General features: G+C 39.2%; 1 protein-coding gene across 3 annotated transcripts in view; it reads right to left on the bottom strand.

The window, feature by feature from the left end:
- TMEM108 (transmembrane protein 108) overlaps nucleotides 1-25877 on the bottom strand; it is a 359385-nt gene that overhangs the window by 253245 nt on the left and 80263 nt on the right. Inside the window, exon 1 of one of the 3 annotated variants that reach the window (NM_001282865.2) lies at nucleotides 19382-19677. The exons of the other annotated variants lie outside the window; for them this stretch is intronic. The gene's annotated coding sequence lies outside the window, so the exon portion shown is untranslated. Of the gene's footprint in view, nucleotides 1-19381; nucleotides 19678-25877 lie in introns of those variants that run through there. 3 annotated transcript variants of the gene reach the window in all.

The following is a 25877-nucleotide window of genomic DNA, read 5'->3' as shown; positions in this document are numbered from 1 at the left end:
ATCTAGAACTAGAAATACCACTTGACCCAGTAATCCCATTACTGGATATATACCCAAAGGATTATAAATCATTCTACTATAAAGACACATGCACACGTATGTTTATTGCAGCACTATTCACAATAGCAAAGACTTGGAACCAACCCAAATGCCCCTCAATGATAGACTGGATAAAGAAAATGTGGCACATATACACCATGGAATACTATGCAACCATTAAAAAGGATGAGTTCATGTCCTTTGCAGGGACATGGATGAAGCTAGAAACCATCATTCTCAGCAAACTAACACAGGAACAGAAAACCAAACACCGCATGTTCTCACTCATAAGTGGAAGTTGAATAGCGAGAACACATGGACACAGGGAGGGGAACATCACACACCAGGGCCTGTCAGGGTGTGGGCGGCTAGGGGAGAGACAGCATTAGGAGAAATACCTAATATAGATGACAGGTTGATGGGTACAGCAAACCACCATGGCATGTGTATACCTATGTAACAAAGCTGCACGTTCTGCACATGTACCCCAGAATTTAAAGCAAAGCAAAATAAAATAAAATAAAATAAAATAAAATAAAATAAAATAAAATAAAATAAAATAAAATAAAAGTGAGCCTTCCTTTCCCTTGTAGAATGTTCGTAACTTAGAGTATCAGAGAAGAGAGGAAGCAATGCAGGTCAGGGAAGTAGAATGAGTGAAGGCAGAGAAGGGCATGTGCTGGGGCTGGCGAGACACCAGCGTGGTCAAGGCTGAGCATGGAGTCTTTGTGTACGAAGGAAACCATATTGGCTGTCTGGCCTCCCCTGCAGCCCATTTCAGTGCAGCAGATTTAGAATCTACCCAGGGGGCTTAGGAGAATTACACACCTAAATCTGTTTCTGCCTTCTTGGGTAATTGGCTTCATCTCTCTGTACCTGTTTCCTCATCTGTAAAACAGAATTATGACATCTTTTCGCCATACAAGGCAATAATAAAAGGCAAAGGAATGAAAAGATTAATGCAAACTCTTATGCTTCATAAGCAGTTTTGCTTCTGGAGCTGTTATGATAAAATTAAATGATGCAATTGAAAATGACCTATACAAACATAAAGCACTCTTTTTTTTTTTCTTTTTTAAACAGCTCCAGATGAATGCACTGTACTTTAATATCCTGGGGAATATGAATTGAATACATTAATCTATGAAATCTGGAAATAAGTCAGATCTAAGCATTCCCATTTTAAAAGATTCAGATTAGGTACACCAATATTCCTAATACTGAATATATCTAAGTAATTTATGTGATATTAATTCCAAACCCAGAGCTTCCTTTCAATTCACCCCTGGAATGTAAACTCCCTGCAGATAAGCCCATGCCTCAAGGACAGTTTTGGATTTTTCAGAGGCCAGAGCTCTGGGTATGAACCAGTAATTCCTTCAGCACCATACACTTGTTTCTTTTTTCTATGTAGTTTTTTTGCTATCTATGTCACATACACAATTTTATCAGCATGGATAGAGAAGGGGTATAATATGGGTTAAAAGTACACTGGAGCCAGACCATCTGGATTCAAATGCTGTTTATGCCACTTATTAGGTGCATAATCTTGGGCATATTCAAGATATAACCTCTTCACACCTCAGTTTCCTCATTCTGAAAACTGAGAAAATGACAACATACTACAACTAGGGCTGTTGGGAAAATAATTGAGACATGTAAAGCATTTAGAACACTGTTTGGAACATAGTGAGAACTTAATAAGTGTTAGTTATAATTATACTACACTAACAGCCTTATCAAGTAGAATCCCTAATGAGGGGGCACAGATTGTGAGTTAAAGTATTAGCAGGTGTTTTATTATCACACTTAATCACATGGGGAGAGGAGAAAAGTAGAATCACTAATACTTGTAAGGCCTGATTTCTAGAACGAACTTTATGCCTGGGATGTGATGTTTTAGGGAGCAGGGACATGTGGAGTGTGGAGTGTGAAACCGTGCTCCAGGATAGCAGCAGCCTGGTGCAGCCTCCTGCCTCTACTTCCCAGCACACACATCCACCCTGAGCAGGTAATGTTCTCACGGACCTTGACAAACATACTTGCTCTTGTTCCTCCAGCTGAGCTGCTCTCCTCATCTCCCCTAAATATGCTGAATGCTGTCCATCCTCAAATGCTGTTTCTATCCCTGGCTCCTCAGCACCCTTCCTGTCCGTAGCTAGTCTCATATTCTGCTTTTAACTCTTTTTATGTGTAAGTTGAGAAATTCACTGTTCCAAATTTAACTTTTACCACATTATCCATGTACATGGATTATATTATATTAGGTGTGTTCACCTAACAGGTTTGTGAATTCCTTAAGGACAAAGTCATATCTTACACAAGCTTATTTTGTATCTTTTCAGCAGCCGTTCTTAACTGGGGACAATTTTGCCCCCCAGAATATATATGACAATGTCTGGAGACATTTTTGGTTGTCATGATGGGGAAGGGGAGTGCTACTGAGATCTGGTGGGTTGAGACTAGAGACCTTCCTAAATACTCAACACACAAGACAGCCTGCCCCTCTTCTCCCCATAACAAAGAATTGTCTGGTCCAAAATGTTCATTGTATTAGGGTTGAGAAATCCTGTCCAATAATACCAAGGACAGTGGGAAAATGAGATTCATTCCAATTACATGATTTTTTTCTGTAATGTCTTAATGGGCCAAGCACTAAGTTTCAACTTCCATTCCAGGGTCATGTCCACTAACCCAAGGTCCTTTCTTTTTATTAATAGCAATAATGATAACCATGAAGATAAAAGTGGATATATTTTGTTTTATATTGTTTGGGCCTTGTGGTATTTGTGCCAGCAGCAGGGACTGTTCAATTGTCATTATGAATAGAGACAATGACATCTCCTTGGCAAAGGGTAGACCACACAGGTCAGTCCCTGGCTTACACTTCATCCAGTTACATGCTCTGAAAGCCTTTTACCAGCAGGCTCATCCCACCTTACTTATCTGAATATTAATACAGCCCATCCCATGGACAGGTAGCGTCTGAGGTTACTTTTTCTGCTCTTGCCCAGGTATATCTAAGGTGACTGAAGTGGACTCCTGCATACCACCTGCTTATCTCCTTGCAGTTTTCTTTTGCCAGTCCTGCCACACTTGCCCCATCCCTGTGAATGAGGTTTATGTCTATGTTCCTAAATGAGTTCTAGTACAGCCCTATAGTTCAGGTCCTCATCCTTTATCTCTGGCTCTCAGCAAGCTTCACTGACCTGGAAATGAACCTTGCTCTCAGTATCCAAGGCATCAGCTGTGGGCCTGCTTCAACCACAATGGCCCTGCTGGCACCATAGCTCTGGAAACAACCTAACCATTAGAGAGATCTGTGCCCAAAAGAAATGAGACTATTTGGCCTCAAGATCTCCTGAGTATTAACTTTACCCCTTAAATGGTATGATTTTAACCTTTATTTTAATAATTTAGATTCACAAAAGATATGAGCAACATTACTATGATTTGGTAGGCCGGATCCTTTTGGAGTGAACCTCTATAGTCAGTACCTCTCCCCTAGTCTACTGTGGCATGCACAGCCATTTCACTGCCAAAATGGAGCCCATGCTTGGCACACATAAAATTTGAAGGAGAGGGGCATGTGCACATATTTTAAAATTTTTTAAATCACAATATATAATTATTAAAAATTAGAAAATAAAATAACTTTTGATTAGAATTATGACTAGTTTCTATCCCATTCTTAGAGCCAGACTTCATTTTAATTTTCTGTCTTCTGGTACTGTGATATGTTTCTATCACTCAAATGTGATTAAGGCTTAAGACTTCTTATGGAGTACAGAAAATAGAAGGGAATAAATGACTACTTTGAGATCACGGCAACCAATTTGGTACTTAATTTCTGTTTTGTGAGGATGGTTTTAAAAGACTCTTTACCACAACTGTATCCTGCCTAGACTTTTTCTCAAAAAAAGATCTTATAAATTTGCCAGATTTATTGAAGTAAAATATTATCCAGCAGAATATCTTCTTTCTAATCAATCTGTCCTCTGAATTGCAAAATTCACAGGACACAATTCTTCACAACTCTACCATTCAGGATAATGTCTGTTGATATGATCTTTCAAATTACCAACAGATCATCAAGGAATATACATAGCTGACTGTGTTCATTAAATCAATATGGTTTAGGGCCAAGTCATGGTAAATTGCACCTGCAGGGCTCGTAGGAGATAATAGAAGAGACTCAAGATGTTTACAACTATAATGTCTATGCACTAATCTGAAGTCAGAATTGTAAAATAAGTTTTAAAGAAAACTTATAAATTATATGAAAAAGAGGTGGGATTTCTGGAATGGCTTAATGAGGAGCTCGGCAAATCTTTTCCCCAAAGGGCAATGATAAAAGTGGGCACAGTTGTCAAAAACAACCAAATTAAGATTCTAAAAACTGATCAATGGCATATAACAAATTGAAAAGGATTTATAAAGAACACCTACTGAATCTTAGTAACAACAGTGGAATCTGTGACATCTTCCCCAGAGACTGCTCCTATCCTCTTCCCCCTCACACCTTAGGCTCCATTACCTGAAAGTCCTACCCCAGCCTCAGCAGATGAGGAAGACTATGTGGGCTGGCAGCTCACTGCCCTGCTGGAGGGGGCTGACTATATTTGGAACAGGGCATGGAAAACAGTGCCCAGGGTACTATCAGAAATAAGAGATGTCACAGTGGCAAGCAATCAGGACAGCCTAACATCAAGGCTAGCCTAGGTTTTGATACTGGTTGGAACGAGCAAACACAAAATGGCAGAGCAGCCAGAAATTTAATAAGAAAATCCAGGGAAGGAAAGAACTAAAGACAGCCTTTTAAAGATCCCCTTATCTCTAAAGGTATACAAGGCTGGGCAAATGCTTAAAGCTGTGCGTACACAGGAAAGACCAGACAGGGCTCTAGAGAACTACCTATCCTTTGCTGATTTTCCCCTAGTCATTGGGTGTCTAGTACATCAAATGATAACTGAATTCACTTATAACTATTTTCTGGAGTTACAAATCATACACTATGGGTCATCTATATCACTTCCTTTATTACACAGATGAGAAACACAAGGCCTCTGAACACTTTAAGAACAAGAGTTTCTAAAAAGTTAGTAGAAAATCAACAGAGGTTGTTTTTTTCTTGCAAATTTGTTTAAGTTCTTTGTAGATTCTGGATATTATCCCTTTGTCAGATAGATAGATTGACCCAGCAATCCCATTACTGGGTATATATCCAAAGGATTATAAATCATTCTACTATAAAGACACATGCACATGTATGTTTATTGCAGCACTATTCACAACAGCAAAGACTTGAGACCAACCCAAATGTCCATCAATGATAGACTGGATAAAGAAAATGTGGCACATATACACCATGGAATACTATGCAGCCATTAAAAAGGATGAGTTCATGTCCTTTGCAGGGACATGAAGCTGGAAACCATCATTCTCAGCAAACTAACACAGGAACAGAAAACCAAACACTGCATGTTCTCACTCATAAGTAGGAGTTGAACAATGAGAACATTTGGACACAGGGAGGGGAACATCACACACAGGGGCCTGTTGGGGGGTGGGGAGCTAGGGGAGGGAGAGCATTAGGACAAATATCTAATGTAGATGAACACGGGTTGATGGGTGCCACAAACCACCATGGCATGTGTATACCTATGTAACAAACCTGCACATTCTACACATGTACCCCAGAACTTAAAGTATTAAAAAAAAAAATCAACAGAGGTTAGTACAAATGGCCCCTGCAACTATGCCAAAATCCACTTAACTGCAAAAAGGTGGCATAAAATTAACAAACAAAAATTGGTCAGGTAAGTTAGAACTTATCTGAATACACGGTTATACATGAACTTCCTCAACCTTTGGCAGGGATGTCCAATCTTTTGACTTCCCTGGGCCACACTCGAAGAAGACAAATTATCTTGGGCCACACATAAAATACACTAACAATAGCTGATGAGCTTAGAAAAAAAAAATCACACACAAAAAAATCTCATAATGTTTTAAGAAAGTTTATGGATTTGTGTTGGGCCACATTCAAAGCTGTCCTGGGCCGCCGCATGCAGCCCACAGGCCCTGGGTTGGATAAGTTTGATAGTCTCTCTTCCTTTTCACTCCTTTTTCTCCTGTGAAGTCTTATAAAGGAAGAGACTAATATGGGTTCTCCAGAAAGTCATTCCTTGTGGGGTAAGGTGATAAACTCTACCTTGGAGAATGAGTCACACCTGTTCTGTAAATGGTCATTGCTTGTAACCAATCCTCCCACTTTCTGTTCCTCTTTTTCTCAACTCCGGATTCCTAGTTCTAGATCTTCATTTTATTTTCTTTGTGGGTGACAACCTGGCTAAAAATACTCTACTCTTTTGGCTGGGTATCTACAAGTCCCAGGGAAAACAACCATGAATAGATATAAGCTCCAGTTCCAATTGCCATCCAAAACTATTAACATTTTAATCTGTATAACACAACTTGTTTCCATAACAAAAGGCTATCCATTCATGTTCTCAAGCCCTCTTATTGTAAATTCTGCTTGTTCAAGCAAGTGATTTTAAGTTCTCTTGGAGACGACAGAACACTCCATGTAAATTAAATGCTGTTTTCCCCTAAGCTTTGTAGAATGCAGGAAGCCACTTTGGATGGGCACCAAGGAGACCTGCTCCCAAGACAACCTTTATATGTTCCTTTCCTGACAGCTCAAGCTGTCCCATCCTTGGCTGTCCCATTTGGCCCATCCGTAGCCTTTAGTCAATTTTAAACCACTAGGAAAAACAAGGACCAAATCCTTGTATTTGTACAGCTGACATCTTTGCTGCTGAGAACCTTGTGTAATCTATCCTTGTGACAAGGATAGCCAGAAACTGTAATAGTTTAAAAACATATCTGACAAATGGTCTAACAGGCAGTCAAGAAACAGTTCAAAGCAAAGAATGAAGTAGGGCTGGCTGCTGCACCGTGGAGTGAGCCCCTTCAGATGTTTTCCTTCCTTTGTTACTTGAAGACAGCATCTGGGGATAGAAGGCTGGGAATCTGGGGCAGGCGTGACAGGATGGTGTTTCGATCAAGGGATAACACCTGGGTGAAACTAATTCATCATGGAAACCTCATCTGCTCTTTCAAATTAGAAAAACATACTGAAAGATGACTGACGGCAGCGTGGTATAGATTTTGCCAACAATTACACTGGGTTTGAACGGTAGTTGCCATGTGCCTGCTCAGTGACTTCGGATGGCGTCTTTAGTCTCTGAGCATCTCTGAGTTTCCTTTATTGCACAATAGATTAAATGAGATAATTTAGGTACAATGCCTAGCATTGTTCATGCGTTCACATATGTCACCACTTCTCACTTTCTGCCTTACTGATGCCAACCAGAGACAGGTGCTAGTGATAAACACCGTCTCTATGCAGATGTAGGAATACAACTTCTTATCATAACTAATTTCTAACAACAACAACAACTACAAAAACTCCAGGACTAATTCTGCAATTTAACAACTCAAATTCTATCTTTCAGCAAGGATGAAATGATTAACTTTTACTTGACACTTTTCCTCCTGAGTCATTTCTTTGATCCAATATTTTAACAGCAGCTGAGCGACACAGCAGGATTCCATGGATCAGCCACCACCAACCACACAAAAGGCTAGGAATTATTTCAGATCAGGATGCTGCCAGAGCACAGCTCCCCAAATAAAACATTTTATAGTACAATTTTTGTTTTCAAAACTCCCTGACCAGCTCCCTTTCCTCTGCCAAGAGATGCCTGGATGTGACGGGATCCTCTTCCTACCCAAATCTGGAGCACTCTGTGATGGCACCAGGTAAAAGGTGATGCCCTGTTCAGGTTTCAGGCTGACACACCACACCTGCTGTCAAAACTACTTCACACCCTGGTGGGAAGAAGCTCCTCTCAATTCTCAGTAGTGCCCACTGCAATTATTACATGTGAGTAAATAATAAGTCACAGAAATACTGTGATGACTCACACATCAAAAAGAAAGCCCTAGTCTGGGCTTACAGGCCAGGAAGCAATCTCCAGGGGAGAATCTGATCTTGCTAGCTAAAAAGAGCAGGTAGGAAGCATAAGCCCTGCAAATACTTTTCTAATTAAATGAAGTATGTTTTTCCCTCCCCTCTTCTCTTGCCCTGTCTTCCTTCTCTCCTGTCTTGACAGATGCTCTTAGACAATCTGGGTTACATTTGTCAGCCTGAAAACAGTGCTAAGATAAAAACAGACACAAAACAAGAGGTCCTACCAGTCAAGAGCAATCAGTGCTCAGAAGCAATAATTTTGCAAAACACAGTGAAGGCAGGACTACATTTCAAGTTTCTGACTTAAAATGTAACTGCACCCCAACTATTATTTAATTACACTTTATTGCAGAAAATAGACTTTGCATCCTGAAACCCAGATCTGTATTCCAATTCAGAAAGTAAAAGAAAAATAGTAATGACCACAACAGCCAAATATAATCAGAAAATGTCGCAGAGTTCTCAGCACATAGATATCCCCCCTAACATCTCAAATATTAATTCTTCTAAAACCAACGCACCATTTGTCCTGAAGCACATAAAACGTTTTATGCTACACATTAAACTCATCATCTCTAATGCCACCCTCCCTCCACTCCCAAACAAGAGCACTCCTTCCTGTGCTTTCAAGCTTGCTGGTCCTCCAAATTAGAGTCCCTGGAGTACATCCTCCAGTGCTCTACACTTTGAATCTGTTAAGATTTTACCGCACGAATGTCTTTTAAAATTTCTTTTCTTCTCTTCATTATCCTTGCTTTGCCTTGCTTTAGTTACTCAGCTTCCTCTCAGGTGACTATTGCAGCTCATGGCTCTCCATGCAGTCACACAGTTTACCTCTAAATAATGCATCTAATCATGCCAGTCCCCGGCCTAAAACCTCCCCCAATTCCCTGTTGCATTCAATTTGGCATTTAAGGCTCGTCACAGCCCACCATCTAGCTAATTCACCTCTCTAGCTCCATCTGGCACCAACCCGCGCCTAAGCTCCAGCCCACTGAGCTGATGAATGTTCCATGAATATACTCATAGCCTTCCATAATTTAATGTACACTTATTGTTCCTGAGACGCTCTCCTCACTCTCTAGAGTTAGTCTCCCCTCTCTGTGCTCTCAACACTTTGTCCTAACCTCTAATTTTGTACTTAGTTTACATTGCAATTACATATTGTATGGGAGTGAGCCTTATTTATCTCTGTTATCACTGATGTCTATTACGGAGTTTGCTATTAGAAGAGAGAAAGACCCGCTAAAGGAAATTCTAAAGTACGTACTGCAGAAAGAAAGAAAAAAAAAAAAACGATAGCAGATGAAAACCTCGAAATGGAAGAAAGTAACAATGAGAGAAGATATTGATAAACAGATGGGAAAAGAAAAACATTGTTTAAAACTATAAGAAAAATGTGTAATTTGTGGAGGAAAAATAGAAAAGCCAGAGAGATATGTCTTTGAATTTTGGAGCATATTCAAATAGAGATTTTTTTTTTAAAGGATGCCTGTTAAAATAGCAGGAGCAGCTACTAAGGAAGCAGACAGACATAGAGCAAACAACCTCTAAACAGGTAGGGGGGACTTGGAGTGAGGAAGAAAGACTTATCAATTCAAAAGACAGCAAGATGGGTATGCGAAGGCAGACAGAGTAGTATAATGGATACTACAGACTCAGAAGCGGGGAGGTTGGGATGGGGGTGAGGGATGAAAAAATACCTGCTGAGTACAATGCACACTATTCAGGTGACAGTTACACTAAATCCAGACTGACTTCACCACTCTACAGCTCATCCATGTAGCCAAAAATACCACTTGTACTCCTAAAGCTGTTGAAACAAAACAATCTTTTATCATAAAAATAATAATAATTTAAAAAAAAACAAGAGACAGCAAGAAGAGAGGGGGAAAGAAATAGCGTTAATAAGCACCCCTATTACTCAGGAAATTACAAGCATTTTAGGAGCTCTGTGTCAGAAACTGAGGGCAGTGACCAAATATATATTTCTTATTATATCACACATGGCAATTAAGAGAAATAGACAAATCCATCACCAGAGGGAGAAACTGCAGTACAACTCTCCTAGTAATTGATAACTTCAGCAGATAAAAAAAGGTCAGTAAAAAGATTTAAATAGCATAATTAACTTTTAGATGTATAGAACATATATAGAATATTGAATACAATAATTAGTGAAATATTAACTCTGAAAACTGACTAAGCTATAAAGAAAACCTCAATAAATTGCAAAGGACTGATATACCAACATTCCCTTACAATGCAATATTAGAAATATATTTTTAAAAGATAACTAGAATGCACAAATGTGAGATTTTATACATATATATATAATCTATACTGTATATATATATAGAATAGTATTCAGCTTTAAAAAAGAAAACTCTGAGGCAGGGAGCGGTGGCTCATGCCTGTAATCCCAGCACTTTGGGAGGCTGAGGTGGGTGGATCACGAGGTCAGGAGATCGAGACCACCTGGCTAACAAGGTGAAACCCCGTCTCTACTAAAAATACAAAAAATTAGCCAGGGGCAGTGGCAGGTGACTATAGTCCCAGCTACTCGGGAGGCTGAGGCAGGAGAATGGCGTGAACCTGGGAGGCAGAGTTTGCAGTGAGCCGAGATCGCGCCACTGCACTCCATCCTGGGCGATAGAATGGCGTGAACCTGGGAGGCAGAGTTTGCAGTGAGCCAAGATTGCACCACTGCACTCCATCCTGGGTGATACAGCGAGACTCCGTCTAAAAAAAAAAAAAAGAAAGAAAAAAAAAGGAAAAAAAAAGAAAACTCTGCCACTTGTGACAACATGGATGAACATGAACATGGAGGGCATTATGTTAAGTGAATAGGCCAGGCACAGAAAGACAAATGGCATATGATCTTCCTTACAGGCATACCACAGGGATGTTGCAGGTCCAGTTTCAGACTACCATAATAAAGTGAATATCACAATAAAGTGAGTCACACAGATTTTCTGTTTCCCCAGTACCTATAAAAGTTATGTTCACATTACTGTAGTCTATTAAGTGTGCAATAACATGTCTAAAAAAAGTACATACCTTAATTAAAAATAATTTATTGCTAAAAATGCTAATGATCATCTGAGCCTTCAGTGAGTTGTAATCTTTTTGCTGGTAGAGGATCCTCAATGTTGATGACTGCTGACTGATCAGGGTGGTGGCTGAAGTTTGGGGTGGCTGTGGCAATTTCTTAAACAATAAAGTTTGCCACATTTTACCCACAGAACTTCTTTCAAAATTGGAGTCAATACTCTCAAACCCTGCTGCTGCTGCTGCATCAACTAAGTTTATGTAATATTTTAAATCCTTTGTTGTCATTTCAATAATGTTCACAGCACCTTCACCAGGGTGGACTCCATCTCAAGAAACCACTTTCTTTGCTCATCCATAAGCAGCAACTCTTCATCCCTTCAAGTTTTATCATGAGATTGCAGAAATTCAGTCATATGTTCAGCCTCTACTTTTAATTCCAGTTTTCCTGCTATTTCCACTACATCCGCAGTGACTTCCTCCACTGAAGTCTTAAACTCTTCCAAGTCATCCATGAGGATTGGAATCCACTTCTTACAATCTCCTGTTAATGTTGATATTTTGACCTCTTCCCATAAATCACGAATGTTCTTAATGGCATCTAGAATGCTGAATCCTTTCCAGAAGGATTTCAATTTACTTTGCTCAGATCCATCAGAAGAATCACTATCTATGGCAATTATAGCCTTATGAAATGAATTTCTTAAATAATAAGACTTGAAAGTTGAAATTATTCCTTGACCCAAGAGCTGCAGAATGAATGTTGCATTAGCAGACATGAAAACAAGAATCTCCTTGTACATCCCCCTCAGAGCTTTTGGGTGACCATGTGTATTGTCAATGAGCAATAATATTTTGAAAGGAATCTTCTTTTTCTGAGCAGTGAGTGTCCACAGTGGGGTTAAGTCGTTCAGTAAACCATGCTATAAACAGATGTGTTGTCATCCAGGCTATGTTGTTCCGTTTATAAAGCACAGGCAATAATAGTTTAGCATCATTCTTAAGGACCTTAGAACTTTTAGAATGGTACATGAGTATTGGCTTCAACTTAAAGTCATCAGCTGCATTAGCCCCTAACAAGAGAGTCACCCTGCCCTCTGAAGCACTGAAGCCAAGCATTGACTTCTATTCTCTAGCTATGAAAGTCCTAGATGTCATCTTCTTCCAACAGAAGCCTGTTTCATCTACATTGAAAATTTGTTGTTTAGTGTTTAATGATCTTAGCTAGATCTTCTAGATAACTTGCTGCAGCTTCTCCATGAGCACTTGCTGCGTCACTTGGTACTTTTCTGTTATGGAGATGGCTTCTTTCCTCTTACCTAATGAACCAACCTCTGCTAGCTTTCCATTTTTCTTCTGCAGCTTCTTCACCTCTCTCAGCCTTCAGAGAGTTGAAAAGAGTTAGTACCTTACTCTGGATTAGGCTTTGGCTTAAGGGAATGTTGTGACTGATTTAATCTTCTCTCTATATATTATCTATCTATCTATCTTCTATATATTCTCACTCTCTCTATATATATCTGAATCACTAAAACTTTCTCCCTATCAGCAGTAAGGCTGTTTTGCTTTCTTATCATTTGTGTGTTAACTGGAGTAGGACTTTTAATTTCCTTCAAGAACTTTTGCTTTGCATTCCTAACTTGTCTCGCTGATGCAAGAGGCCTAGCTTTTGTTTTGGCCTTTAGGCTTTCAACAAGGCTTCCTACACTTAGAGGCCATTTTAGGGTTATTAATTGGTCGAATTTAATATTGTTGTGTCTCAGGGAATAGGGAGGCCCAATGAGAGGGACAGAAGTAGAACCGTTGGTTGGTGGCATAGTCAGAACACACATAACATTTATCAATTTGCTGTCTTATATGGGCATGGTTCACAGTGCCCTAAAACAATTATAGTAGTAACATCAAAGATCACTGATCACCATACGAGATATAATAAAATTTAAAAGTTTGAAATATTGTATTACCAAAATGTGACACAGAGACATGAATTAAACACATGCTGTTGGAAATAGGTGTTGATAGACTCGCCCAATGCAGGGTTGCCATAAACCTTCAATTTATAAAAATTGCAAAACACAATAAAGTGAAGCATAATAAAATAAGGTGTGCGTGTACTAAGTTTGTAAACGTTGAGAAATGTGTCTTGAATAATAATTTCATCTCCAAAAGAGGAGGCAGCAGCTGCTGTAAAATGCTGAAACAACCCCTTCAGGAAACATTCAATCTTAAGTGCAATTGCCTTCCCTTTTTAGTTTTAAACGGAAAAGTTTCTATACAAAGCTGTTTACATAAATATTCAGCTGTTTACCTCTGCACACAAGGTAGAAAAGCAGAAACCTGATGACAATTCAGGAACACTAAACAGACACCAGCTCAAAAATGATGAAAAATTTAGGGAAAGACTCAACCATCTACCACATTAGCCTAATCCATTGGTATTTCATAAGTAATTTCTTTTTAACAGTAGATAGAGTGTCATAAATTTTCAGATAATTTTCTTGAAAAGTATAAGTTATGTCAGTTAAATTATAATGGATAGATTATATTCCATTTTAATGCCAATATGCTCCCTTGGTCTGAAGAGAAAGGCCCAGAGATGCATCTGGTTTGGGCACCAGCACATTACCTGCAATCTCGTTTATCTGTGTAGCAGTCTATATCTTCCAATAGTGGCCACTGCAAGATTGTGAGAAACTTTTCACTTCCCTATCAAGAGATGGAATCTATTTCTACTCCCATGGAACCTAAGTGGCCTTTGTAACTGCTTCAGTTTAATAGAACATAGTGGAGTGATGCTGTCTGATTTCCTAAGGTAGATCATGAAAGGTTCCTGCTTTTTTTTCTCTTGGGTCATGTGCTGAGCAGTGAACTGGTACAGAAGTCTGTCTACCCTGAAGCTATCATGCTGGAGAGACCACAAACAGAGATGCCTGAGGAGCCCAGCTGTCTGTCTTCCCAGCTAGGCTCCAGACATGTAAGTGGGCTAGCTTCAGATGATTCTAACCCACAGCCTCTAGGCCAACCCAGCTGATGCTGAGGCGAGCAGAGATGAGTTGTCCCTGCTGAGCCCTGGCCAGATTGCAGATTCATGAGTCAAATACACATGGTTGTTGCTGACATTAAGTTTTGGAGTGGTTTGTTATGCAGCACCAATTAACTGGAACAGGAGGGACACTGAATGCAAATGTCATCCCTTCATCTACCCAAAGGATAAAAGACAGAACCACAAGCCCAAACAACAGGATTTCTTAAAAACCAAAATGATAGCACTGTATTTTACCCAAAAAGTGCAAGCACCACTTCTGAAAGTTAAATTTGACTTAAGATTCACACACCTTTTGCCACTCACCAACAATGCCGATTAGTGGATATGTATGTAAATGTATTATTTGCAAAAAAGTCCTTTAATATTTTTGCTTTTAGTCTTCAAAAGATCGCTGATGCAGGTTAACAAGCAGAGGCTGTTAACCTGCATCAGCGATCTTTTGAAGACTAAAAGCAAAAATATTAAAGGACTTTTTTTGCAAATAATACATTTAGAAAGTAATCAGATTTTAGAGCTAAGTAAAATCCCTGATCACTTATTGTGTAGCCCTAGACAAGCTACACAACTTTTATTGATCTGTAATATGGAAATAATACCTATCTATTCACAGGGTGGTTACAGAATTAAATGAGCCACTATATATAAAATACTTAGCATGCCTGGTATATAATAGACAATCAACAAGTTTCCTTTCCTTGGCATTCTTGGCCTTTTTCATTGAATGAAAGGCTAAAGGAGAATGAAAGTCCCTAGGTTTGCCCCAGCTAAAAGAAGCCTTCCCAGGAAAGTCAGGCTCTGCTTCCTGTCCGTGAGTGATGCTCCAACACTTGAAAGTTGGCCTCCAACCAGAGCAGCTACTCTGGGTTTATGGTAGTTATTGTTTTAATGGAAAATATTTGAGCAAATTTAACTCTGCATCCCAGCTACTGCTTTTTCTTTTGTTACCATGCATTTTCACCAGCAAAGAACTAATTTAGTGTTTCGTTTATTTTTTTTTGGGGGGGGGGGTGTGGGTGCGGAGTCTTGCTGTGTCACCCAGGCTGGAGTGCAGTGGTACGATCTCGATGCTCACTGCAGCCCCTGTCTCCCAGATTGAAGCGATTCTTGTGCCTCAGCCTCCTGAATAGCCGGGATTACAGGTGCACAACAGCACACCCAATTAATTTTTGTATTTTTGGTAGACAGGGTTTCACCATGTTGGCCAGGCTGTTCTTGAACTCCTGGCCTCAAGTGACCCACCCATCTCAGCCTCCCAAAGTGCTGGAATTACAGGCGTGAGCCACTGTGCCCAGCCTGTTTTGTTTTAAATAGGAGGTCATTGGGGACTTTATGCCAGAGAGGTATCTGACCTGAATTACTGGCCGGCTATATTAAGGAGGCAAAAAATTAACAGGTAACCTATGGATTTTAGGTGTTTGGCCAACAACCTCAATATATGAGCAGACAAAATGACATTATGGGAAGAACAGACAATCAGCTATCCATCTGGGTATTTTTACTTGGTTCAAGCTTAACCTCTAAGTGAACAATGAAGTTTCCTGAAGTAGACAGAGCATGACGGAGAACCAGAGACCAGCCTCACACTTGCTGTGGGATCTTAGGAAGTAACTTTGCAGGCCTTTGTTTCTTCACCCAAGAAACCATGGGATTAGAGTAGATGATCAAACTATGTGATGACCAAAAGGCCTTAAGATCATCTAGTCTAATGTTCTCACTTGACAGGTGAGAAGTGAGGCCAAGAACAATTCAATGGCTTTCTTGATGTCACAGTCCTTGCAGCCAAGAGACTTGGGACTGGCATCCAGTCCCAATAAAGGCAATAAAGATCCTCTTTATTTTACAGGCAATAAAGATCCTCTTTCCACGAAGCCTTAGCTGTCTCTAAAATGATTTGATTCTGATGGTAATGAGGAAGGAACACAATATGCATTTCTATTCAGGTTAATTTAAAATGATTCGACAGGTCAAATATTTATTTCCTAATTTCCAAGCTAACTTTCTTGCTAAGGGAGGACTTGGAATTGTCTTGAACAAGGGCCCATTCTAAGGTCATCATTCTCCAGACCTGAAAAAGCAATGTAAGTGCTTTTCACTTGATATATTCAAAACAGAGTGGATGAATTTTATCAGTGATGTCCCTTGCAAGTGCCAGGTACCCAAGAGAAAATGACAGACTTCTGTGCTCTTTAACCTATGAGTGATAGAGTTACTGTTATACTATGTACCAACCAAGTTTCAGACCCAAGCAAGGTGTGGGGCAAAACTTCTGGCAAGGCTAAGTCTTTATCCATCCACCTGATATTTCTTAATTCTTCCTCTTTAGGGAACAGATAAGTTCTTTAAGTTTCACAGGTCTGATTCACCACAGAGTGATTATATTCAAGAATCCTGATTTGCCCAAAGCAAGATACCTACCTAGGTGAACAGGAAGTAAAGTTTCTCGGCCCAGCCACTCTAGAAATCTGGAGCAAGGGGCAAAGGAAATGTTTCTTATTCAAATTAACATAAATCAACAACATTGACCTTGATATACATGATCTTAATTAAGAACTAAACTGGAATTTAAACATTTGAATGCTACACTAAGGTATCATAGAAATTAAGGCCAAATGTGGAAATTGAAACAATGAGAAAGATAAAGGGGGCCTATAACCAGGAAATACACTGACATAATGGAAATGAGCCAGCCTGGAGTGGAAGACAAGAGGAGCCTGAGGGAGGCAGACTGTCAAGGTTGGCATGATTTTATCTATTGGGGAGACAATGAGGGGTGTATCTAGGAACAAGGGTGGAGATAGTGTGGTTTACCAGACAGATAACTCCTTGCCAGGCAGGTTCTAATATAGCCTGAATGGAAACTTCCTTTTAAGAACATCAACTCTTTGTCTGTGGTTCCACACTTACGAAATGAGATTCTCTTCCCATCCGAGTTCTCACACAGGTCTTCCAATCTGAGACATGTGGAAGTGAAGGAAAAGGCTAGAGAAAGCAGTCCTTTCTGTGCTGTCCAACATGGCAGCCACTCCACAGGGGGTTACTGAGTGCTTAAAACGTGGCTAATGTGAATAAGAAACCAAATTTTATTTTAAATTTTATTTAATTTTATTAAAGTTAAATTTAAATTTAGAAATGGACACTGATTCAGTTACTGGACAACTGATATGCATGTTTGGAATGACTTGGATATGTGAATCTACTTTTTCTACTGTAAGTTTTAATCTAAGTACAGATCAAGTATTGTCCATGAAACTTCAGTGTCCCAATTGAGATGTGCTGTAAGTGTAAAAATATGCTTACAGCACATCTCAATAGGACTTTCAAGACTTCGTATTTTAAAAATGCAAAATATCTCATTAATAGTTATATTAATTACAGTCAGCCCTCCATATCCATGGGTTCTACATATGCAACTGCCCAGTAAAAATATTTTTAAATAAATACAACAAAAAATAATACAGATAATACAACACAACAATTATTTACATAGCATTTACATTGTATTAGGTATTTTAAGTAATCTAAAGATGATTTAAAATATATGGGAGGATGTGTACAGGTTATATACAAATACTTCATTTTATATAAGGGACTTGGGCATCCACAGATTTTGGTATCTGTGGGGAGTCCTGGAACCAATCCTCCATGGATACCAAGGGACAACTGTACATGTTGAAATAATATCTTGAATATATTAAGCAACATAAAATATACTGTTAAAATTAATTTCATGTTTCCTTTTATTTTTTAATGTGGCCACTAGAAAATTTAAAATTATATATAAAGCTCATACTTGAGGTTTATATTACATTTTTATTGGACAATGCTAGTCTAGACTCTGGAGGGTCTAGATAAGACCACCACTTTCTTTTTTTTTTTTTCTGGGGGGGGCGGGGACAAAGTCTCACTCTGTTGCCCAGGCTGGAGTGCAGTGGCGCTATCTCGGCTTACTGCAACCTCTGCCTCCCAAGTTCAAATGATTCTCCTGCCTCAGCCTCCCGAGTAGCTGGTACTACAGGTGCTCGCCACCATGCCTGGCTAATTTTTGTATTTTTTTAGTAGAGATGGGGTTTAACCATATTGGTCAGGCTGGTCTCGAACTCCTGACCTCATGGTCCACCCACTTTAGCCTCCCAAAGTGCTGGGATTACAGGCGTGAGCCACCGCACCTGGTCAGAACATCACTTTTTTAAAAAAAAGATTATAGTAGTATATACTTGGGCTTCTTTGTCAAAATCACACTAGGGTTCACCATGTGAAAAGCCCAAGGATAGTCTTTCTTATTAGATTATACTCTCCCAGTAAATTACAATTTGGCATTTGGCTTACAAATTTGCCTCAGATTAGTTAATTGATGTCAGTCAGCCAGCATACGGTCAACTGTAAAGTAAAAATGACATTGGTGTTCCAGATCAAAGGAACTGATAGAAGGAAACAGCCCTGAAATAAAACAGTGACTATAATTCAAATATTTGAGACTAAATATCACATCCCTTTAGTCTTCTTTTACATGACCACAAAAAGAAACCACATAAGAAGGAAACAGCAATATATAATCCCAACATATACATTCTGAAGAAGATACTATTTTAAATACCCTCTGAACATGAATCAAATATATGGCAAATGATAAATTTATATATACACTTCATATGCACAAGTAAAACTTTATCCGTTAAAGAAAGGTTTCCTTAAGATTGTGATCTAAAAGAAAACATTTGTTCTAAACAATATTGACTGACTGATAATTAAGCCTGTCATTATCATAGCATGTACCCTAGGATCTGATACTACCCCCACCTACCCCCCAAATTGTATTCAAATGAGAACAGCATCCATGCTGAGATAAGGGGATAGCTATATCACCTCTTATTTTCGGAGCTGGATAATCAATTAATCAGGGAGGTTAAATAGCACATTCGAGGTTCAACATTTGCTAAAAGCCACTTATTTCCACTCAGACCCTCAGCTGTCATTCTGGAAGCTGCCACCAGATGCACAGGGTGCTTGTTAATGCGGCAGTAAAGCCCACATCAGAGGGTCTCTTCAAGGTCCAAGGTTTCATACAATTTGGTCAACTGTGCCTTTTCCCCCTATAAATCAGAACTCGATAAAAACTATAATTCATGAACAGATATTTAATTACTACCTTAAGAGCTAAAATAAAGACATAATCTGACATAATATTTACATAAATACAAAATACCTACCTTCAAATTAAGTATCTCTTCCCACTAAATTGCCCTATTTTAAATCTCCATCTAATTCATTTCAGAGTCTAGTTGGAATTCTCCCTGAGTTAATTTGGGATTGTAAATTCTCCAACGAGTCTCAGATCTTCAGAGTAGCATAAGAGCTCCCCATATAATTTTCCTGAGTTAATCTGCTCTTTATTTTCCCCACATGTTTAGCTTCTCGTGGCATCTAGGGTCTCATCTGCTCCTGCCTCTGCATGGCTTGCCTCCGCTCTACTGCCCACTCTGGGTTCCCATTCCTGAGCAGAAAGAACCGTAGATGCTGCCGTCTTGCTCTCCCCACTCTGTGGTCTTGTTCCAATCAGGGAAACATTCCTATGGCAACCAACACACACCACCATCTCACTCCCCTTCTCTGAAAGTTCCCTATTTGCCTGGCAGACGTTTGGCAAGGACGCTGAATTACTTTAACTTGCCTAGCAACTACTAGCCTGTTCCAGCCCCTCTAAAAGGGGTTGGCTTTTTGTCGCTTATCTTTTAAAACACACTCAGGGGCTGGCTGGCTGGCTGTGGAAAGGGCAGCTGCCAAGTCAGCCTCACTGGACACTGGCCTGGAACACACACAGCAGTTGGGCAAACTGGAGCCTCTTCTTGCCCCAGGGTGAAAAAACGTCCACAGGCTTGAGGCAATGGCATGAACAGACAGCTCTGAGGGTCTCACCCTAGGCTAACTCCAGCCGAATTTTAATTCTCAGAGAACCTCAAATCTCCTTCATCTTCAGCTATAAGAAAAGTAAAATTATCAATAGCTGCCTCCACTCAGAAAACCAGGTTTATCCCATTTTGCCATGTACGTCACACCTTTTGGTTTTTATTTAACAGGCTGGAAACCAGCTGTTTTAACTTACAGATTGTAGTTTCTTCATTTCGGTTATTTTGGTATCAGGAAACAACACGGTCCCAAATGACTGATGCTGCTTTCCATATTTTTTTCCCCTCAGTGAATTCTAAAGAATACTTGAAGTATCTATAATCTAATCTGGGTACCCTAAGATGAAATACTTCTTCTAATAATCCATATAGGTGGAGAAGCTTGAACAATGAATAAACAGTTTATTGAGCTCTTGGCTTGCTCTGCTGATAGGATTCCATGCTTGCCTGGTGCCCTTTCAGAACAGAAGCCAACAGTGGGTGCTTTCTCCTAAAAGCAACCAGTGAGATAATCAAGTCAGGTCCTGGAGAAAAACCAAAGCTACTAGATAGGCATTTCTACTCCTACCTGCAGCCAACTTTCTTCCAAAATGAAAGCAAGGCCACTATTGCAGAAGCAGAGAGTTGCCAATTTAGGCCGACAACAGAACTGAAAGTTGACATGGGTGGACACTATCTTTTATAGACAACATTTCCTGCTGGTAGGGTGCAAAAGACCCACTTTTCTAGTTTTGCAACCTTTGAATTTCTTCTAAAAAGAGGCTTCTTATTCACTTCCATGGCTCCTCAAGAACAAGGACATTTTTTTATTGCCATTTCCTATTTCAGTGATGACACACAGTGAGTGCTCAGTAAGCATTTGCTTAAATGAACCTCAAATACAGCAGCAACAGAATGTCAAAATAAGATACTATTTTCACTTATTGTATTTACAAACTGAAATTTTTGTCATATTTAGTGTTGACAAGGGTGTGGAGAAACACGACATTCTTCTACACTGTTGATGGAAGTATAAATTAGGGCAGCCATTTTGGAGGACAATTTGCCAATATTTAGTGATGCTAAAAACGGACACCCTCTTTTACCAGTAATTCCCTTGCCTTGAATGTATCCTACAAATATACTTACAAAAATGCAAAAAGATATATACAAAAATATTTATTGCAGTATTGTTTGCAACAAGATAAAACTGGAAAAACGTAAATGTTGATAAACAGAAGGTAAGCTAAATTATGGCAAACCAATGCAATGGAATACAATATAGCCATTAAAAATGAAATGGATTTATACATACTGATGTGAACAGATGTCTAAGGTATATGCTAACATATCCACAATGGAATCCATATATGTATCCGTACATACACATGTAAGCATAGATGTGTGTTACATGTATATAGGTATTTATGTATACGTGTATGTGTGCTTGTATACAAATAGAACATTAGGTCATTTCTGGTAGAATTTGCAGAGACTTAACAGTGGTTACCTTTAAGGAATGATATTTAGGATTGAGACAATAGGAAGGAAAACTTTTATTTCCACCTTATAGCATCTTAAAATGTTGACCAATTTTTTTTTTTTTTTTTTTGAGATGGAGTCTCGCTCTGTTGCCCAGGCTGGAGTACAGTGGCGTGATCTCAGCTCACCGCAAGCTCTGCCTCCCAGGTTCAGGCCATTCTCCTGCCTCAGCCTCCCGAGTAGCTGGGACTACAGGCACCTGCAACCACACCGAGCTAATTTTTTGTATTTTTAGTAGAGACGGGGTTTCACTGTGTTAGCCAGGACGGTCTTGATCTCCTGACCTCGATCCGTCCACCTCAGCCTCCCAAAGTGCTGGGATTACAGGCGTGAGCCACCGTGCCTGGCCAATGTTGACCAATTTTTAAAACAAGGAATATTCTACTCATATTTTAAAAACATGTTAATAATTCATAATTGCCTTTGTATTGTTAGATTTTCAAAAAAATATAAAGATAGCAGGTTATTTTTACCATTCAGGTATCCCTGCGTAACTAACACAGGGGTCTTTAAAACCATCCACAGCTCTAGCAGCAAGCAAGAAACTACAGAAATGAAAACAGCAGGTCACATAAATTGTTTATGAAGTTTATACTTTAAATGTGTTAGACATTAGTACCTCAAAAACTTTATTAAAAATTAGAAATCACATTAGGGCTACATAAATCAAGATTAAAAATTGTGCAAATCCAAATACACATTGAATTATACAATAAGCCCAAAAACATATTCCTAATGCTTGAGTCATCTTTTTTTTTTGGAGGTAGAGGGAAAAGAGAAGTAACTCCTGCTGCTAAATTAGAAATCATAAGCCCCAGAAGCACCGTACATATACAACAAGAATTAAAAAACTGGATCCAAGAATTCTAACTGATGTTTAATCAAAGAAAAATACAGAAAGCTGCAAATGTGTCTTTTCAGGGGCTGATTTAACCTACAGAGAGGGACAACTGAAGAGAAACTTCTCTTCTTCACTGGCAACTCAATAACAAGAACATGGAAACCATGGTATAATATTTTTTTCAGCTTACAAAGGTTAGAAGGAACACTCCGTTAAAAAAATAGAGCATTGCCTTTCATTTCCACATATCCCCAGCTTCCCAAATAGTCCTCCTACTTTTTTCTTACAAACTCGAGAGAAAAAATTTCCCTTGGTACTCATTATAAAACCCCAGAATGCTCTTGACATTGCCATTTTAACTGTCTATTGTTCTCCTAACTCCAGGAAATCTCTGAAAGCCAGACATAATGACTGTTGTGACGGTTTTCAGTAACAAGAAGTGAAGTTTCCTGTCAAAAGAAGTGCTCTCTCCATTTTCATCATATGTAAAACAAGATGCTTCCATGAGCACCTTCATAGACAGATGAGCTTCTTTGAGACCCTGAAAATGTACTACATAGGATGAAAGAACGAATCAAAATGACAGATAAATGTGTGGGAGTTTTTCCCTTTTAGCTATAGCAAACTCTGATTTATTTCCCAATTAGTACTGATTCTTTTGTCAGAGACTTGGCTTTTTGCTCCAGAGCTGTCAAGAGCATATTCTAGATATTGATTCAACACAGGAGCAAAAAACAAATTAGGAGTTGGTGTTTATTTGGAATACTCTAGATCCTAGACTAAATGGACTGGCTATGAAACATGTTCTATTATAACACTCCTCCATTAACTGCTTCAGGTCCCCATGATTCCAAATCTCCCATTCAGATTGAGAGGCCCCCATCTTTAGTACAGATCTACTGGCCAGACCAGCAAAAGAAAGGCAGCTTGTTTCTGAGGGAAGAGTCCAAGATCAGGATTCAGAAGTCCTGGGTTCAAGTGCTGTACAGTCCTTAACCTGCAGAGCTGCTGAAAGCAGAGACTCACCTTCATCTGTTTCACTTCTTCTATGTGAGCAAATGGGAAGGGATGTATCAGATCAAATGAGATAACATATCGATACAGTTCACAAATATGGGATGCCAAAAAGGCCTTACCGTTAACAAGAGCAAGAGTTTGCCTTTTTGAAATTGTGTTACACAAATATATCCTTGTGTGACTCAGTTTTCTTACCTGTAAAATGGGAATAATAAAAACACTCATTTCACAGATGCTCTTAGATGCATGCATCCATGCTTTTTATCATTTGCTCTATCTGTGCTATCTATGCTAGGCACTCTTCTAAGAGCATATGTTAGCTCTTCTAAGAGTGCCTAGCATAGATAAATAACAAAAATATTAGCTGTTACCTTTGGTACAAAGGTACTTTATTTACTTAGAAGTGTAGATCCATAGTACCGCAGATATTCAAAATGTGACAGAAGTATAACAAAGTGAAAAATTAGACACAAACATAAAGAGAGATGAGCTATGCCCAGAGCATCTGCTTTGTTGTAATAGTGGTCTAGTTAGGCATAAAGCAATAACCATAGGAGGATGGCTGGGAAAGGATTTGAACCAGGCACACAGCAACTCAAAGTACAGTAAGAGGCAAAGACTGTAGAGTGTATCAATCTCACTTTTAAAGGTTAAGGGGCTTGAACGCTAAATGTGAAATGTACAGAGGCACACACACTTCCTCTGACCTCTAGGTCTGGCTGATCCATAGTAGTTGTCCCTCAAAATATTTGAAAAATGAGTGAATAGATGGGTTGAACACACTGCTTTCAATACAATCTTCTTGCAGAGTTCCTATTATAATACAGACTGCTTGATATTAAAAGGTGTCTACACAAAAGACAAACGAAAACCCAAAAGATGTGCACTCATGCCTTAATTCATTAAATACTTAGTATTCACTGTATCTCAAGCATGGTACAGAAGTTGTTTTATGAATAAAGTCTAGTTTATGCAATTACAGAAATCTAAAGTTTTTAGAAGAAGAAGTTGGTCTCTATCTTGGGCTGGAATCTAGTCATAGTGGAAATAACTAATTACATTCCTCCCTAGTTGGTTTCTTACAGGCAGGTCTTCTCTAAGTCCAAGCCTTAGTGATGCTATTTATGTCAGGACACTTCAATCTTAAGAAACTAAAGGAAAATAGAAAATCTTTTTCAAAAGGATGTAATTGTACCAGATGATATGCAAGAGATTTGGGGGCACGTAATTAATTACAATAATGCCTTACAACAAATTTATACTGATGGAAGGAAGATGTGTGACAATATTGAATTATGGGCAAGTTTTTAAAAATGGAGTTTTATTAGAGTTCAAATTAAATGCTAATAAAACATCGCCAAGAAGAAATCCTCCTAGGACTACTTTAATGACTAGAATCACTCATAATCAGTAGATAGTTAGGATGCAAATAGATGCAAGTAAGGCATTTGAAAATGGCCCTTCCTCTCAAGCAGGCTAAATGTTTCCTAGCAAACTTATTTACACTATTCATTTGCTCTGTGGGTCCTTTCTTCATAGATAAAACAAAGTAAACTTCAGACTTACCCTGGAGAAATTATTAAAAACTCTCAATTAATGAGGTACAAATGAACGTCATTATTGAAGAGAGAATCAGGGTTCTGTCAGATGACTGCAGCCAACTACATCTGGATTTATTTTTAAATGAGTGTTTATACTCCACCATCCAAGTTCTCATGAGAGGCTCTGTCTTTGCATACAAAGCAGGAAAAAAACTGCTGAATGAAGTCAGTGTGCTGAATGGAACCGGAGAGTGGGTGGAGGGGAGTGCCTACTCTTTTTTCCCTCTTTTTTTTTTTCAGCTGTTACTTTTTCTTCTCCTCCTATCTGGTATTCTTTGATACACTCTGACAGCTTGTTCAAACTGAGGAGCCTAAGAAGGATCCACCTGACAACCTAGACTCAGGAAAAGCACATGCGAAAATGCCGTTTCCAGCCACTGTACGATCATCGGGCCTCGGAGAATGGTGCTAGTACGTTTCCAAAGTACTTCGGAGGCTGCAAAAAAAATGTTAACAAACATTACCTCATTTGATACAACCACCTGTGGCATAGGAAAGGCAGGTGTCTTCATTTTACAGGTAAGAGAGGTTAATGATGTGATCAAGTCTATGCTATTAGAAAAAGCCCAGCATCAGGGCCAACCTTCTTACTATTGGTCTGTGGTGATGTCCCCACACTACACTGCCTAAGTAAATAATCTTACGTCTTTTTACACACCCCCTACGGTAAACTGAAACACCCTGGCATCTGATTCACTTATGTCTGTGGGAAGCCGAGCCCTGGGTAGGAGAACCACCAGTGGTTCAGCCCGCCGCCTCATTGTAATTTCACAAAGGACTTAGTAGCTTCTGGGACAGTGATTTTTCAGGTGTCAAGTGC

The sequence above is a fragment of the Homo sapiens genome, chromosome 3 (genome assembly GCF_000001405.40).
Source record: "Homo sapiens chromosome 3, GRCh38.p14 Primary Assembly".
Taxonomy (NCBI): Eukaryota; Metazoa; Chordata; class Mammalia; order Primates; family Hominidae; genus Homo; species Homo sapiens.
Note: the sequence above shows the minus strand (reverse complement) of the source record. Positions and strands in the feature narration are given on the sequence as shown.